This window comes from Homo sapiens, chromosome 19 (assembly GCF_000001405.40).
Source record: "Homo sapiens chromosome 19, GRCh38.p14 Primary Assembly".
Classification (NCBI taxonomy): domain Eukaryota; kingdom Metazoa; phylum Chordata; class Mammalia; order Primates; family Hominidae; genus Homo; species Homo sapiens.
The window spans coordinates 43,154,815-43,169,574 of record NC_000019.10 but is presented as its reverse complement, the minus strand read 5'-3'; the positions used below and the strand labels follow the sequence as shown (position 1 = coordinate 43,169,574).

Genomic DNA, 14,760 nt, shown 5'->3' with positions numbered 1-14,760 from the left:
TCTATTTAGTAAGCCTTCTCACTTCCTTTACCTCTACTTCCTAGTATAATTCCTTCATCCTAATTAGAACTGTCTTCCTACACATCCCTGCCCCTTCACCCATATAGACATAAAATTCTTAGTTCCAATGCTATGTCTAAAAACAGAGTGAAATCCCCTCCACCATCTGCACTGCAGACTTAACGACACCCTTCATCACAGGCAACATCTGACCTCATGGAGAACGGAGACTTTAGGATTAACATGTGAACCTGAGACTCAGAACACAACCTATGTGTGGTTGAGATCTTTTCCTGATGACCAGTTCATGTGTTCAAAAAACATACAGAAATGAAGAAGGCAAGGTCCCTACCCCAGGAGACATAAAGCCTAAGACAGGAAATGAGACCTGAAAATAATCATGATACCAAAATAGAAAAAATTGAATGCCACAAGAAATCAGAGAAATCTGATGGGAAATAGAGCTACACATTGGAATCACTGGAAAGCATTTTTAAAAGTGGATGCTCAAGCCCCACCCATTAGTTCCAGTTTAAAGGTCTGGAGAGGGACCAAGGCATTGGTAATTTTTAAGTCTTCCCTGACACTACTAACATGTAACAAGGATGGAGAACTCTTGTTGTAATAGGTAGAACTTAAAACTAAATGAATGATTTTCAGCTAGAAGTACTGGAATTACCTAAGGACCTTTTTCAACATACATAAGACTATACATTTTTGGCCCTATTTATGAATGGGCTACACCAAGAACTCAGTAATCCTCTTGAGAAACAGAAGCTGAATGGAAAAGCCACCTTATTTGATATATTAAATTGTGTAGAAAACATTTTCAAATAAAGGATAAGTGAGGCTAAACCTTCTCTAAATAATATTTATGGGAATGTTAATAATATGAGTATTCTACGCTGGGCGCGATGGCTCACGCCTGCAATCCCAGCAGTTTGGGAGGCCGAGGTGGGCACATCACGATGTCAGGAGATCGAGACCATCCTGGCTAACACGGTGAAACCCCGTCTCTACTAAAAATGCAAAAACAAAATTTGCCGGGCGTGGTGGCAGGCACCTGTAGTCCCAGTTACTCAGGAGGCTGAGGCAGGAGAATGGCATGAACCCGGGAGGCAGAGCTTGCAGTGAACTGAGATCGCATCACTGCACTCCAGCCTGGGTGACAGAGTGAGACTCCATTTCAAAAAAAAAAATTTTTTTAAATGAGTATTCTAAAAATTATATGAAATTTCTGGAAATCAAATATGTTACCATAGTGTCATATGCCACAGAAGTAACTGGATTTCTATGTGAGCTGTGTCTTTACCATAATAAATTCTCATTAGATTTTTAACCATAGTCAGTTTAAATCTTTGTCTTTCCCAGACAGTTGCTTTGATTCTTCCTCAAACTACTTACAATCACCTACAGTCCAAAATTGCTTTTTCTTCAAGGAGATTTATGGAAAAGACTCTGACAAGGACTCTTGAATACAAGTTCCTGATAACTTCAAGATCATACCACTGGACTAAGAACTTTCAAAATTTTAATGAACAGGCTGATACCTTCATGAAATTCTAGACAAAGAAGAAAAAAACTCCATGTTATTGGACTAAATAATCAAAAGCATAATGTTTTCATAATTTTCTATTTGAAAATGTGCTGATTCTTTGAATGTTTTATTCTCCAGATTTATGAACTTTTTTTCTTGAGCAATTGGTAAAGTATACTTTTGTAAACAAAAATTGAAACATTTGCTTTTGCTCTCTATCTGAGTGCCCCAGAATTGGGAAACTATTCATGAGTATTCATATGTTTATGGTAATAAAGTTATCTGCACAAGTTCAGTAAGGATCTGCTCTCTTTATAACAGGACACATTTGAAAACATTGGTTATATTACCAAGGCTTTGACTGCGATGTTATATTTGAGAATATATATAGAATAAACCCATAGGGAATGCAGGCAAAGTCTGAAGTGGGCCTTGGTTTGGCTTCCTAGTTTCAAGAGGTTTTTGGAAGTTTAATCTGAGATTCTTATTAAAAACTTCTAGCAAAGAGAAGTTTAAAAAGAGCCTCTATTGTCCATTGCTACTCTTTCCGCACTTAGCTAAAAAATCTGGGCAAGTTCGGTGAGACTCAACCTATTTTGCAAACAAATTCATCCTACTGGAATTATCTTTGGTAAAAATAGAGACTCCTATAGACAGAAAAACTATGTTGAAAAGAAAAACTGTAGTACACCTGTTACCAGATTGAACCACTGTTCATTATCTCTGAGTATTTATAATCCACTGGTAGACTGGACTGGACCCTGAATTCTTTTAGTTCTTCCAATTCAATTTTCTCCAATGAAATCATTAAGAACAAGAGCGGCTCTGTTCCTGAAGCCATATAAGTTGGAGGTGGACAATTCAATGTAAACTTCATGGGAAAACCCTCATGTCTGAGGTGTGGGCCACTAAGAGCTCACGAAATGTTCAACACCATAACTTAGAGACACTCAAACTGCAAACCATGACAACAAGTTGATGACTTTATACTGCGGACAGCTTTTCTCAAGATGTCAGAACAAGATTATCACTCATGATGAGACTCTTACCTCTCTGAATTTGTCCTTGCTAATGCTTGTCTCCTTTGCTTCCCAGAATAATGCTGTACTTAGGATTTCACAAGAAGTAGCCTCTGAGAGTAAGTTAACAGTGTCAGATATATCATGTCAACCACACTTTTTTTTTTTTTTATAAGATGGAGTTTCGCTCTTGTTGCCCATGCTGGAGTGCAATGGCACAATCTTGGCTCACCGCAACCTCCGCCTCCTGTGTTCAAGTGATTCTCCTGCTTCAGCCTCCCGAGTACTGGGATTACAGGCATGCACCAACACGCCCAGCTAATTTTGTATTTTCAGTAGAGACAGGGTGTCTTCATGTTGGTCAGGCTGGTCTCAAACTCCCGACCTCAGGTGATCCGTACGCCTCAGCCTCTCAAAGTACTGGGATTACAGGCCTGAGCCACCGCACCTGGCCCACACATTTTTACATACCAAGAGATCCTTTAATCCACCCAAAGGCTGACGTTAGCTGCATCTGTAACACAACTTTTTCCTCAAATATATGGAGTTTTTTTTAGGCTTCCACTTCTATACTTCCCTATTCTCACTCCCTGTTTTAATTTAACATAGACATGCAATGCTAGATAATAGAATTGCTCTCTACCAGCTGAACATTTGGGAGCCTGTGCAGTTTCTGGCCCTTCTTGTTGCACATAGATAAATACATCCGGTGTTATAGAGACTCAGTTGTAAAAATCAATAAATGTGCTGCCTGGTTAAAATGACTAGACTCTTCTGGCTTCTTCTTTGATCTATCCTATTGTAGTTGGTTTGCATCTTGCCTAAGGTGCATATTTCAAACTCTTGATATTTTCCTCCTGATAGTCATACTGGTATTCTCCCTCGTGTGGTGCAATCTACAGATGTTTTTATTTGTGTGCAAATGTTTGTGTGCAGCCATTCTTCAAATATCAAATGGTTTCTCTTGGGCTGGAATTACAAAAACTCAAAGAAATGTTTGATTTATGGGCTGGGCGCAGTGGCTTACATCTGTAATCCCAGCACTTTGGGAGGCCAAGGCAGGCAGATCACAAGGTCAGGAGTTCGAGACCAGCCTGGTCAATATAGTGAAACCCTGTCTCTACTAAAAATACAAAAATTAGCCGGGCATGGTGGCGTGCACCTGTAGTCCTGTAGGGAGACCCCCTGAAACTATCACTATGGAATAAAAGATGAAATGCTCCTGATTATTGTAAACACAAAATTGCATGCAGGATTGTGTAAAGACAATGCCAGGTTGGGCTGCCAGAATGTGCCTACAGCATGGGATGTGCTTCTGTTATATGGATGGGAGACAGAATTATGAGTTTAGAACATAGATTACAAATGCAACGTGATTGGAATACTTCTGATTTTTGTATAACTCTGTTCCAATATAATGAGTCTTTTCACAATTGGGAATCAGTAAAATCCCATTTACAAGGAAGTGAATATAAATTAAGTTTAGACATAAGCAAGCTGAAAGAACAGATTTTTGAAGCCTCTCAAGCACACTTAACTGCTTTACCCAGTGCTGAAGTTTTAGACAGTATCTCTGAGGGGTTATCTAATCTCAACCCCATTCAATAGGTAAAATCTTTGGGAGGATCCACTATCATTAATTTTGTTCTGTGTATAATTTGTGCTATTGGTTTACTGTTCATGTGTAAAATTGGAAAAAATATTCTTCAATCCAATCGTGATCAGTGCCAAGCTATGATTGCTATGGTTCATTGAAATCAGAGAAAAGGGGGAGATGTAGGGAGACCCCCTGAAACTATTGCTATGGAATAAAAGATGAAATGCACCTGATTATTGTAAACACAAAATTGCATGCAGGATTGTGAAAAGACAAATGCAAGGTTGGACTGCCAGAATGAGCCAACAGCACGTGATGTGCTTCCCCCTGCAGAGAGCCTATGAACGGACATGCAGTCAGGGAGGTTTCACATAACCAAGATTCCTATCCCAGAAAAGCAGATGTCCATAGCTCTGGGAATGGAATGTGACCCTTATAGAGAGCATATAAATGACCCTAAATCCCTCACTAACCTACCAACACTCTCACTAAACTTAATAATAAATGCTGGTATATCCAGTGCATTGGCAGCATCGCAGGATCAGAAGGCGGTGACCCCCCTGGACCCAGCTTTCACTATCTTGTTTGTGTCTTTTATTTCTCAACCTGCCGATCTGCCTGGGAACAAAGAAAGAGCCCTGTTGCATTGCAGGCTGCTGGCCAGATCCAGCAATATAGTCCCAGCTACTTGGGATGCTGAGGCATCTGTAGAGGGAGAGCTGCCTCAAATCATAAATCACAAATAAAAGCCAATTACATCTATTACTAAATTCGTTGTAATTTTGTCTTATCACACATGTTCACAGCAAGCAATGGCCAGTGGAGTCTCTCAGGCTGCATCATTCTCACCCTGACCCTCCTGCCTTTCTCTTTCACTAAGAGGACCCTTATGATGACACTGGGAGCCACACAGATAAGCCAGAATAAGGTTTCCATCTCAAGATACTCAACTTCATCACCTTTGAACAGTGTTTTTGCCAAGAAAAGTAAAGGCATGTGTTCCAACAGTTAGGATGTGGATTTTTTTTTTTTTTGAGACAGAGTTTCACTCATGTTGCCCCAGCTGGAGTGCAGTGGCACAATCTTGGCTCGCTACAATCTCAGCCTCGCAGGTTCAATGATTCTCCTGCCTCAGCCTCCCAAGTAGCTGGCATTACAGGCACCCGACACCACGCCCAGCTAGTTTTTGCATTTTAGTAGAAACGGGGTTTCACCATGTTGGTCAGGCTGATCTCGAACTGGTGACCTCGTGATCTGCCCTTCTCAGCCTCCCAAAGTGCTGGGATTACAGGCGTGAGCCACCGCGCCTGGCCCGGATGTGGACATTTTTAAGAGGCCATTATTCTGCCTCATACAGGTCACTTTCATAAACATCACCCACAGCAAAAATGTTTTGCCTTCCTTCCATGTCTCACTTTTCTGTCTGCACAAACCACAGTGAAACACACTAGCTCTGCTATGAAGTGGCTGGATGACCCTGGGCCACTCATTTGACCTCCCTCAGCCTCTTTCCTCTTCTGCAGTGTAAGGCTGACTCTTACTGCATCAGAAAATGACAGTGGAAGAGTAAATTAACATGTGTGAGACATTAGTCACAGAGCCTGGTACCTGATGAGCCCTTGGTAAACATTCCTTTCAGTCCTTTCCTTTCACCTTCCCATTTTTCTTGCCCTCACCCATCTTCTCCTTCAACTCCTTTCTCTTCAGTAACTTACTCAGTCTAACCTGCCAATTAAAGAAGCCACACTACCCATTCTCTCATGACTCTGCTGGAATATTCTTGTGATGCCGTCTGCTATCCACTCAAGGCAATGGGTATTATTTATATGGAGAGGTCTGTTTGCAACAAGAAATCCTTTTTCTGTTCACACAAAATTTATACACAATTTCTCTTAACTTACACGTACCAGTCTCAATTCTACCCTGTTATTTCATACATGTACCTCATTATTTTATTCTTCGGTCTTTCTCCTTACATCTTAAAAATTAGGATAGTACAAAAACAAAAATAATGGCCTGGGCCAGAAGAGGGGATTCCTTTAGCAAGATGAATGCTTTCCTTTTTCAAGATGAATGAATGCTATGTGCCAGGCAGCCCTGAAGTCCATTTCTGGGTTTGGCTTACATCAAAGCCATTTGACTCTAGGACACATTCTTAGATTCCCAGGAGATAATGATTGCCACGGAAGACACACCCACTCTGAGTATTCCTACTGTTGGGTAAAGGCATGTTTACAGAATGTTGTGCATTCTGTTTACTCCTCCTAAATTCTTCCACTCCTGGAAGTTAAGCTTCCCCACTAATCAGCTTCATCTCCAGCTGGCCTGCCTGGACCCTGACTGGAAAATACCTCCCCACTCTGGATGGCCAGGGTGGCACCTTTGTCTATTCCCATAATTATAATAGCTCACACTAATGCAGCACTCACTATGCACGAGGCACTATCGTAAGAGCTTTCCAGGTAACTACACTCCTCACAAAAAATCCCAAGTGCCTCCATCCCCATTTTTACAGATTAAAAAAAAAAACTGAGGCAGAGAAGTATGTACCCACTGTCACCTAACTCCATAATTCAACCTCATCCTCCACTTCATCTGGTAAGAGGACACTCTAAGATTTACAAGGTCTCCTGAATGACATCCACCTTCAAAAATTATTTTCAGGATTTGACAAACAGCCAGCATTTTGTTTTCTGTCTCACCCTTCACTTATGCACCTGTTCCCTAAAACTACACTCACAACTGCACAGCCCTGCATAAAAGCTAGCTTTTAGAAACCTCAATCTCTTTTGGAAAAAAGAAAGGCCAGGTTCCAAATCTCACAAAAAGTCATTTTTTATTCTATTGTCAACTATTTGCATGGCCATTCTCTGGACATAAACGATTGCACCAGAAACAGAAAGTGTAATGAGAGGAAAGTAGGAGGAGGGTGATTTTCTAGATAGACACACAGGGAAAAGATTCTGAATCCAGAAAAATTCACAAAATGCACCCAGGGTATGTGGTTTTGAGGAATGACAGCCCCACGTGCCACTTTCCATGGCTGTTGGCCTCTTACTTCCTTCTCAACCTGCCCCTCCTGGTCTTGCTTTCTTAGACCAATACAAACAACCTGGGAGCTGGGGTCAGATCAGAGCACACAGCACTGAGTGGTAGGGTTGGGAAAGACAGAAAAGGAAGACGAGTGTTTGACTCATGAAGACCTGACTCACCTGGGTACACATCACCTAGGCAGGCAATAGATTACTGAAGGGCTTTGCAGGACTCATGGTGGATATCCAGAAAGACTGACTGAGGCAAGGGTCTTGACCAATTGAGTTTTATTGAGCCAGAGCTTGAGAGTGAACCCTGGGAAAACATGAGTTGCAAAAAATCTCTGTGGCTTGTGTTTTCTCTGAAGAGATTTCAGGAGGCTTAGTATTTATACATTTGATTAAAGGGGAGAAGGCAGGTCGGAAGAGATGGAGTGGGCAGAAAAACAATTAATCTAATCTTGTCTTTCTTCTGTGCCTCAGAAAATAAATATTATCAGAATGAGAGTTAAAATACTTCAGTTTTAGGAGCTAGATTTTGATTGCTCACTTAAAGTTACAATTGGCATGTCTTTCTTTTACAAAGATATATACATCTTGAAAGGTTTTGAAGCCAAGAAAAAACAATTCGTTCAGGCAATCATCTGGAGATGCCCAAGATTTTTGGCTTTCCTGTTTACCCCGTTCTTTTTCTTTTTCTTTTCTTTTTTTTTTTTTCTTTTAGAGACACAACCTTGCTCTGTCACCCAGACTGGAGTGTACTCACTACAGCCTTGAACTCCTGGGCTGAAGCGGTCCTCCCGCCTTAGCCTCCCAAGTATCTGAGACTAGAAGCATGCACAACTGCACCTGGCTAATTTGATTTATTTTATGTTTTGCAGAGACATGGTCTCCCTTTGTTGCTCAGGCTGGTCTTAAACTCCTGGTTTCAAGTGATCCTCCTGCCTTGGACTCTCAACGTGCTGGGATTACAGGCCTGTGCCAGCACAGCTGGCCCCCCAATTCTTCAAAAGCTTTCAGACAAAACATTGTAGAAGACATGACTTTGTGACTGTAAGTTTCATCTGATCCTGCATCACTAGGAAGGCTCATTCTTAAGAAGTCATGTCCCATGGAAAAGGGATAAAGACAAATCAGAAAAGGGCAAAGGGAAGTCACAGCAACAAAGGGACAGTATAATCCTGGAACCTTATTAAAGTCACACAACTGCTGCTTCAATTAGAGCAATTCGTTTAGCAAACACCACTCTAACCCTTTCAGTTGTATCTTGGCTCACCTGTAATGTCTGGAGCAGTCTATAGACTAGGTTTTCTAGAGTTTCTGAAGCATCTTCCAATTGCAGTGGTAATCTGACACATTTCTCTAAATTGCAGTCTGAATACAGTGTTCATGTGTACCTTTTCTGTAGTCCACACATCAGCAGGCACAAGGGTTGTTTATATGTAAGTTGCTGTGATTTCTCCAGAAGTTTACATAAGTTGTTGAGTTTCAGCTTGCAAGCTTTAATCTATCCATCTGACAGAAGGCTAATATCCAGAATCTACAAGAAACTTAAACAAATTTACAAGGAAAAAAACCAAACAAGCCCATCAAAAAGTGGGCAAAGCACATGAACAGACACTTCTCAAAATAAGAAATTTATGTGACCAAAAAACATACGAAAAAAAGCTCATCATCACTGGTCATTAGAGAAATGCAAATCAAAACCACAATGAGATACCATCTCATGCCAGTTAGAATGGTGATCATTAAAAGGTCAGGAAATAACAGATGCTGGAGAGGATGTGGAGAAATAGGAACGCTTTTACACTGTTGATGGGAGTGTAAATTAGTTCAACCATTGTGAAAGACAGTGTGGTGATTCCTCAAGGAACTAGAACAAGAAATACCATTTGACCCAGTAATCCCATTACTGGGTATATACCCAAAGGATTATAGGTCACTCTACTATAAAGACACATGCACACATATGTTTATTGCTGCACTATTCACAATAGCAAAGACTTGGAACCAACCCAAATGCCTATCAATGATAGACTGGATAAAGAAAATGTGGTACATATACACCATGGAATTCAATGCAGCCATAAAAAAGGATGAGTTCATATCCTTTGCAGGGACATGGATGAAGCTGGAAACCACCATTCTCAGCAAACTAACACAGGAACAGAAAACCAAACACTGCATGTACTCACTCATAAGTGGGAGTTGAACAATGAGAACACATGGACACAGGGAGGGGAATATCACACACTGGGACCTGTTGAGGGGTGGGGGACCAGGGGAGTTATAGCATTAGGAGAAATACCTAATGTAGATGATGGGTTAATGGGTGCAGCAAAACACCATGGCACGTGTATACCTATGTAACAAACCTGCAGGTTCTGCACATGTATCCCAGAACTTAAAAGTGTAATAAAAAAAAGATAAAAATTTAAAAAGCACAGTTTTAATTTATAATATACCAAAATGGAAGAAAAATGGGAGAAAATTCTGAAACCATTAGTTTTGAAATTTGTAGCCAGGAAAAAATTTAGGATTCAGTCCAAATTGTAGGTAAATAACAAAATTAAAAAAAAAATGAACAAATTTAATAGCCGTTGTTTTGTTGTTTTCTTCTGAAAAATAATTTTCCCCCTCCTGTCTCCCATTTTTATGAAACAGAAATCATATGGGACCAATGTATTTCCAAAATAAGTTTTAGTCTTATACCTGGATTGTTTACATAAACTGCAGCAAGAATGTAGATTCAAGGCCTCTATGAATACATATTTTACATATATATATGTATAAATATAAGAGTATATATATTCTATCATGTAGAATGGCACTAAAGTATATTAATGGCAGCAAATCTATACAAGTCTGCAGCAGCCTCAATTCTTGCTTCTTCAGAAGAAAGAATTCAACTAAGCATCATAAGGCAGAAGAAGAGACATAGGCAAATTTTAGAGCAAGAGTGAAAGTTTATTTAAAAGCTTTAGAGCAGAAATTAAAGAAAGTAAAGTACACTGAAAACAGGGTGAAACAGGCGATGAGATTTCAAGTGTGGGTTTGACCTTTGACTTAGGTTTTTTATGTTGGCGTAATTCTGGGGTCTGCATCTCTTCTCCCCTGATTCTTCCCTTAAAGTGGGCTGTCTGCATGTGCATTGGCCCACCAGCACTTAAAAAGGGAGCCTGTGTAGTGTGTTTCCTGGAGTACAGTTGGAAAACAGAGACCAAAATAAAAGCTATGTATGTAAATAAAACTGGTCTCCTTATAAAATGCTGTTATAAATTTCTATCATTTTTGTGTTACCTTGGCATCTACTTTTAATCTTCCTTGAACACACCCAAATTCCTTCTCTCTCTCTCTCTCTCTGTGTGTGTGGGGGTGTGTGTGTGCTTTGAGATGTAAATTTACTACCTACTTTCTCTAAAACTCAGCAAGGACTTCCTCAGATAAATGTTATCTTTTTCTATTTACAAAAGCACAATTTAAATCCAGCTGTCTTTTTTTTAACAGTGAGTTTTTTGGGTTCATGCATAAAGTTTTAAAATAAAAAATCTGAAGTGTTTCTGTCTCCCTCTATCTTTATGTGCACATGTATATGTTCTATGTTGTATCACATATCACATATGTATATGCCCCTACCTATGTTAATATATTGTTTATATGTGGTATCAAATTAACATAAAAATAAATGAGTACTCATCAATTAAGTAAATAATCCCAAATGCTTTTCAACACATGTGATGTTACTAATCTTCAATAAGGGAAGAACACCTGAATGAGCATGCATACCCATCTGCTGCCTCCTTAAAAAAATAATTATCAGGCCAGGCGCGGTGGCTCACTTCTGTAGTCCCAGCACTTTGGGAGGCTGAGGTGGGCGGATCACAAGGTCAGGAGATCGAGACCATCCTGGCTAACATGGTGAAACCCCGTCTTTACTAAAAATACAAAAACAATTAGCCGGGCCTGGTGGCAGGCTCCTGTAGTCCCAGCTACTCAGGAGGCTGAGGCAGGAGAATGGTGTGAATCCAGGAGGCAGAGGTTGCAGTGAGCTGAGATCCCACCACTGCACTCCAGCCTGGGTGACAGAGCAAGACTCCGTCTCAGAAAAAAAAAAAAAAAAAAAAAAAAATTAACAGTCAAGAATTTTGTATCCAGCAAAACTAAAGTCCATAAATAAAGGAAAGATAACAGTCTTTTTCAGACAAACAAATGCTCAGAGAATTTGCCACTACCAAGCCAGCACTACAATAACTGCTAAAAGGAGCTCCAAATCTTGAAACAAATCCTGGAAACACATCAAAACAGAACCTCTTTGAGCATGAATCTCACAGGACCTATAAAACAAAAATACAATAAATAAATGAATAAAACCAAGGTATTCAGGCAACAAATAGCAGGATGAATGGGACAGTACCTCACATCTCAATACTAACATTGAATGTAAGTGGCCTAAATGCTCCACTTAAAAGATACAGAATTGCAGAATTGATAATAATTCACCAAGCAAGTATCTGCTGCCCTCAAGAGACTCCCCTAACCATAAAGTGTCACATGAACTTAAGGTAAAAGGGTAGAAAAAGACACCCCATGCAAATGGCCACAAAAGTGAGCAGGAGTAACTATTCTTATATCAAAAAAACTAACTTTAAAGCAACAGCACTTAAAAAAGACAAAGAGGGACATTATATAATAATAAAAGGACTTGTCCAACAGGAAAATATCACAATCCTAAATATATGTGCACCTAACACTGGAGCTCCCAAATTTATATAGCTATTACTACTAGACCTAAGAAATGAGATAGACAGTAACACAATAATTGTGAGGGACTTCAGTACTCCACTGACAGCACTAGACAGGTCATCAAGACAGAAAGTCAAGGAAGAAACAATGGATTTAAACTATGCCCTAGAGCAAATAGACTTAAGAGATATTTACAGAATATTCTACCCAACAACCACAAAATATACATTCTATTCATCAGCACATGGAACTTTCTTCAAGATAGGCCACATGATAGGCCACAAAACAAGTCTCAATACATTTAAGAAAATTAAAATTATATGAAGTACTCTCTCAAACAACAGTAGAATAAAACTGGAAATCAACTCCAAAAGGAACCTTCAAAACCATGCAAACACATGGAAATTAAATAACTTGCTCCTGAATGATCATTGGGTCAAATATGAAATCAAGATGGAAATTTAAAAATTCTTCTAACTGAACAATAGTGATGCACCCTATCAAAATCTCTGGAATACAGCAAAGAGCATGCTAAAAGTTTATAGCCTTAAATGCCTACATCAAAAAGCCTGAAAGAGCAGAAATAGACAATCTAAGGTTACATTTCTAGAAACTCAAGAAACAAGAACACACCAAACCCAAACCCAGCAGAAGAAAGAAAATAACCAACATCAGAGTAGAACTAAATGAAATTGAAACAAAATAATACAAAATATAAATAAAATGTAAAGCTGATTTTTGGGAAAAATAAATAAAATTGATAGACCATTGGCAAGATTAACCAAGAAAAGAGGAGAGAAGAGCCAAATAAGATCAATTAGAAATGAAATGGGAGCCATTACAACCAACATTGCATCACTGCACTTCAGCCTGGGTGACAGAGAAAGACCCCCTCTCAAAAATGACAAAGAAAGAAATAGACAAAGCCCAATGCTGGCAGTGCTGTGGAACTAACATCTTAGGATTGATGGAGAGAGTGGACTCAGCACTTGTGGAAACAGCCATATTTCCTGGGGGCCATGAGGCCACATATGCCCTGTATAGACTGACCAGGGAGTGTTGGGCTACTACCCACATTTCATCTATTTGTCAGGCAAAAATGCTTTAAAGATCATTACACTTGATTTTCCTTTAACTAAAAAAAATGTGGGAATGCAATGGAATTGCCGAGTTGCATGGTGGGTGTATGCTGAAATTTTTAGAGGCTGCCAGACTGCTTTCCATAGCAGTTGTACCATCTTACATTCCCACCAGCAGCATGAACATTCCAGTGCCTCCACATCCTTGCCAACACTTGGCGTGGTCACTCTTTTTAATCTTAGCCATTCTAATAGTTCTGTAGTGGTATCTTTTTGTGGTTTTATTCTGCATGTTTTTCTTGAGACAGAGCCTCATTACGTTGCCCAGGCTGGAGTACAGTGGGCCCATCATAGCTCACTTTCTCTTCAGGAAACTCTTCCCTGATCTTTTAGTCTAGGTCAGAAGCCCAGTAATATACAGTCATGAAGCCACATATTTATTCTTTTTGTGTTGTTTTTTGAGATGGATTTTTTTTTTTTTTGCACTCCAGACTGGAGTGCAATGGCACAATCTTGGCTCACTGCAAGCTCCACCTATTGGGTTCATGCCATCCTTGTGCCTCAGCCTCCCAAATAGCTGGGATTACAGGCATGAGCCACCATACCCAGCTAATTTTTAAATTTTTGGTAGAGACAGGGTATTAGCATGTTGCCCAGCTGGTCTCAAACTCCTGACTTCATCGGCATCCCAAAGTGCTGAGATTACAGGCATGAGCCACCGTGCCTGGCTCAAGGTTGATTCTCTTTTTTTTTTTTTTTTTTTTTTTTGAGATGAAGTCTCGCTCTTGTCCCCCAGGCTGGAGTGCAATGGCACAATCTCAGCTCACTGCAACTTCTGCCTCCTGGGTTCAAGTGATTCTCCTGCCTCAGCCTCCCAAGTAGCTGGGATTACAGGCACACACCACCACACCCGGCTAAATTTTGTATTTTTAGTAGAGACAGGGTTTCACCATGTTGGCCAGGCTGGTCTCGAACTCCTGACCTCAGGTGATCCACCCGCCTCGGCCTACCAAATTGCTGGGATTACAGGCTTGAACCATCATGCCCAGCCAAGTTTGACTCTTAAGACTAGAAGCTTGCTACTTCAGAGTTGGTCTGAGGACTGAAATATATCACCTCTTATCCATCAGGAAATAGCACTACTTCTCTGGGCTTCAGTGTCCTCATTTGAAAATGGTAAAAATTCCTGCCCTGCAGGTAGGCGAGAAAGTTCAGAAGTGGTGTGACTAAAGTACTTCTTACCTAGCCAGGTGGTCTTGATTTTGAAGGCCTGTCTTGTCATTCAGAGGCTGTGGAATGGTCTCAGTGTTGGAACAGGGAGTGGCATTTGATGTTTGGTGTCATCTTAACCCTCACAGTCCCTGTAGTAGTTTGCTAGGGCTGCCATGACAAAATACTGTAGAGGAGTAGATAAGCAACAGGAGTTTATTGTATCACAGTTCTAGAAACTGGAAGTCCATGCACTTTCCTCCTCTGTAAGAGGTCACACAGTGTTTCCCATGAGCTCATATATATGGTGGAGGGAGAAACAGAAGGAGCAGGTGCCATGGGAGTCTGAGTCACCCATTGGGTCACTGGTGCCCTGGGACCTGCTTGAGCCTGACCCCATACACAGCTCTCCCTGGGATGCTGGAGGCTGGCTGTGCATGCCCCAGGTAACTCAGATGTCACCAGGACATGATGTGCCTTTCAGGTCCCAAAGCCCTTGGTGTCCTATGGTCAGGTATTTGAATTCCACTAAGCCCAGGGATAA

The 14,760-nt window shown here is 40.5% G+C and overlaps 1 protein-coding gene and 1 long non-coding RNA gene across 6 annotated transcripts in view; one reads left to right on the top strand and one right to left on the bottom strand.

Annotated features, from left to right (window-relative positions):
• Nucleotides 1–1,832, top strand: part of PSG5 (pregnancy specific beta-1-glycoprotein 5) — an 18,794-nt gene extending 16,962 nt beyond the window's left edge. The window contains exon 6 of one of the 3 annotated variants that reach the window (NM_001130014.2): nucleotides 1,440–1,832. The gene's annotated coding sequence lies outside the window, so the exon portion shown is untranslated. Of the gene's footprint in view, nucleotides 1–1,371 lie in introns of all 3 variants that reach the window. The other 2 variants (XM_017027003.2, NM_002781.4) reach the window with 2 other exon arrangements.
• The window catches only part of PSG11-AS1 (PSG11, PSG2 and PSG5 antisense RNA 1), a 23,021-nt gene extending 8,261 nt beyond the window's left edge, over nucleotides 1–14,760 (bottom strand). For 2 of the 3 annotated variants that reach the window (XR_007067262.1, XR_001754099.3), the window contains exons 1-3: nucleotides 14,250–14,760; nucleotides 8,462–8,725; nucleotides 7,366–7,501 (exon numbers count right to left, since the gene is read on the bottom strand). This is a non-coding gene — a long non-coding RNA (PSG11, PSG2 and PSG5 antisense RNA 1). Of the gene's footprint in view, nucleotides 1–7,365; nucleotides 7,502–8,461; nucleotides 8,742–14,249 lie in introns of those variants that run through there. The other variant, XR_001754100.3, reaches the window with a different exon arrangement.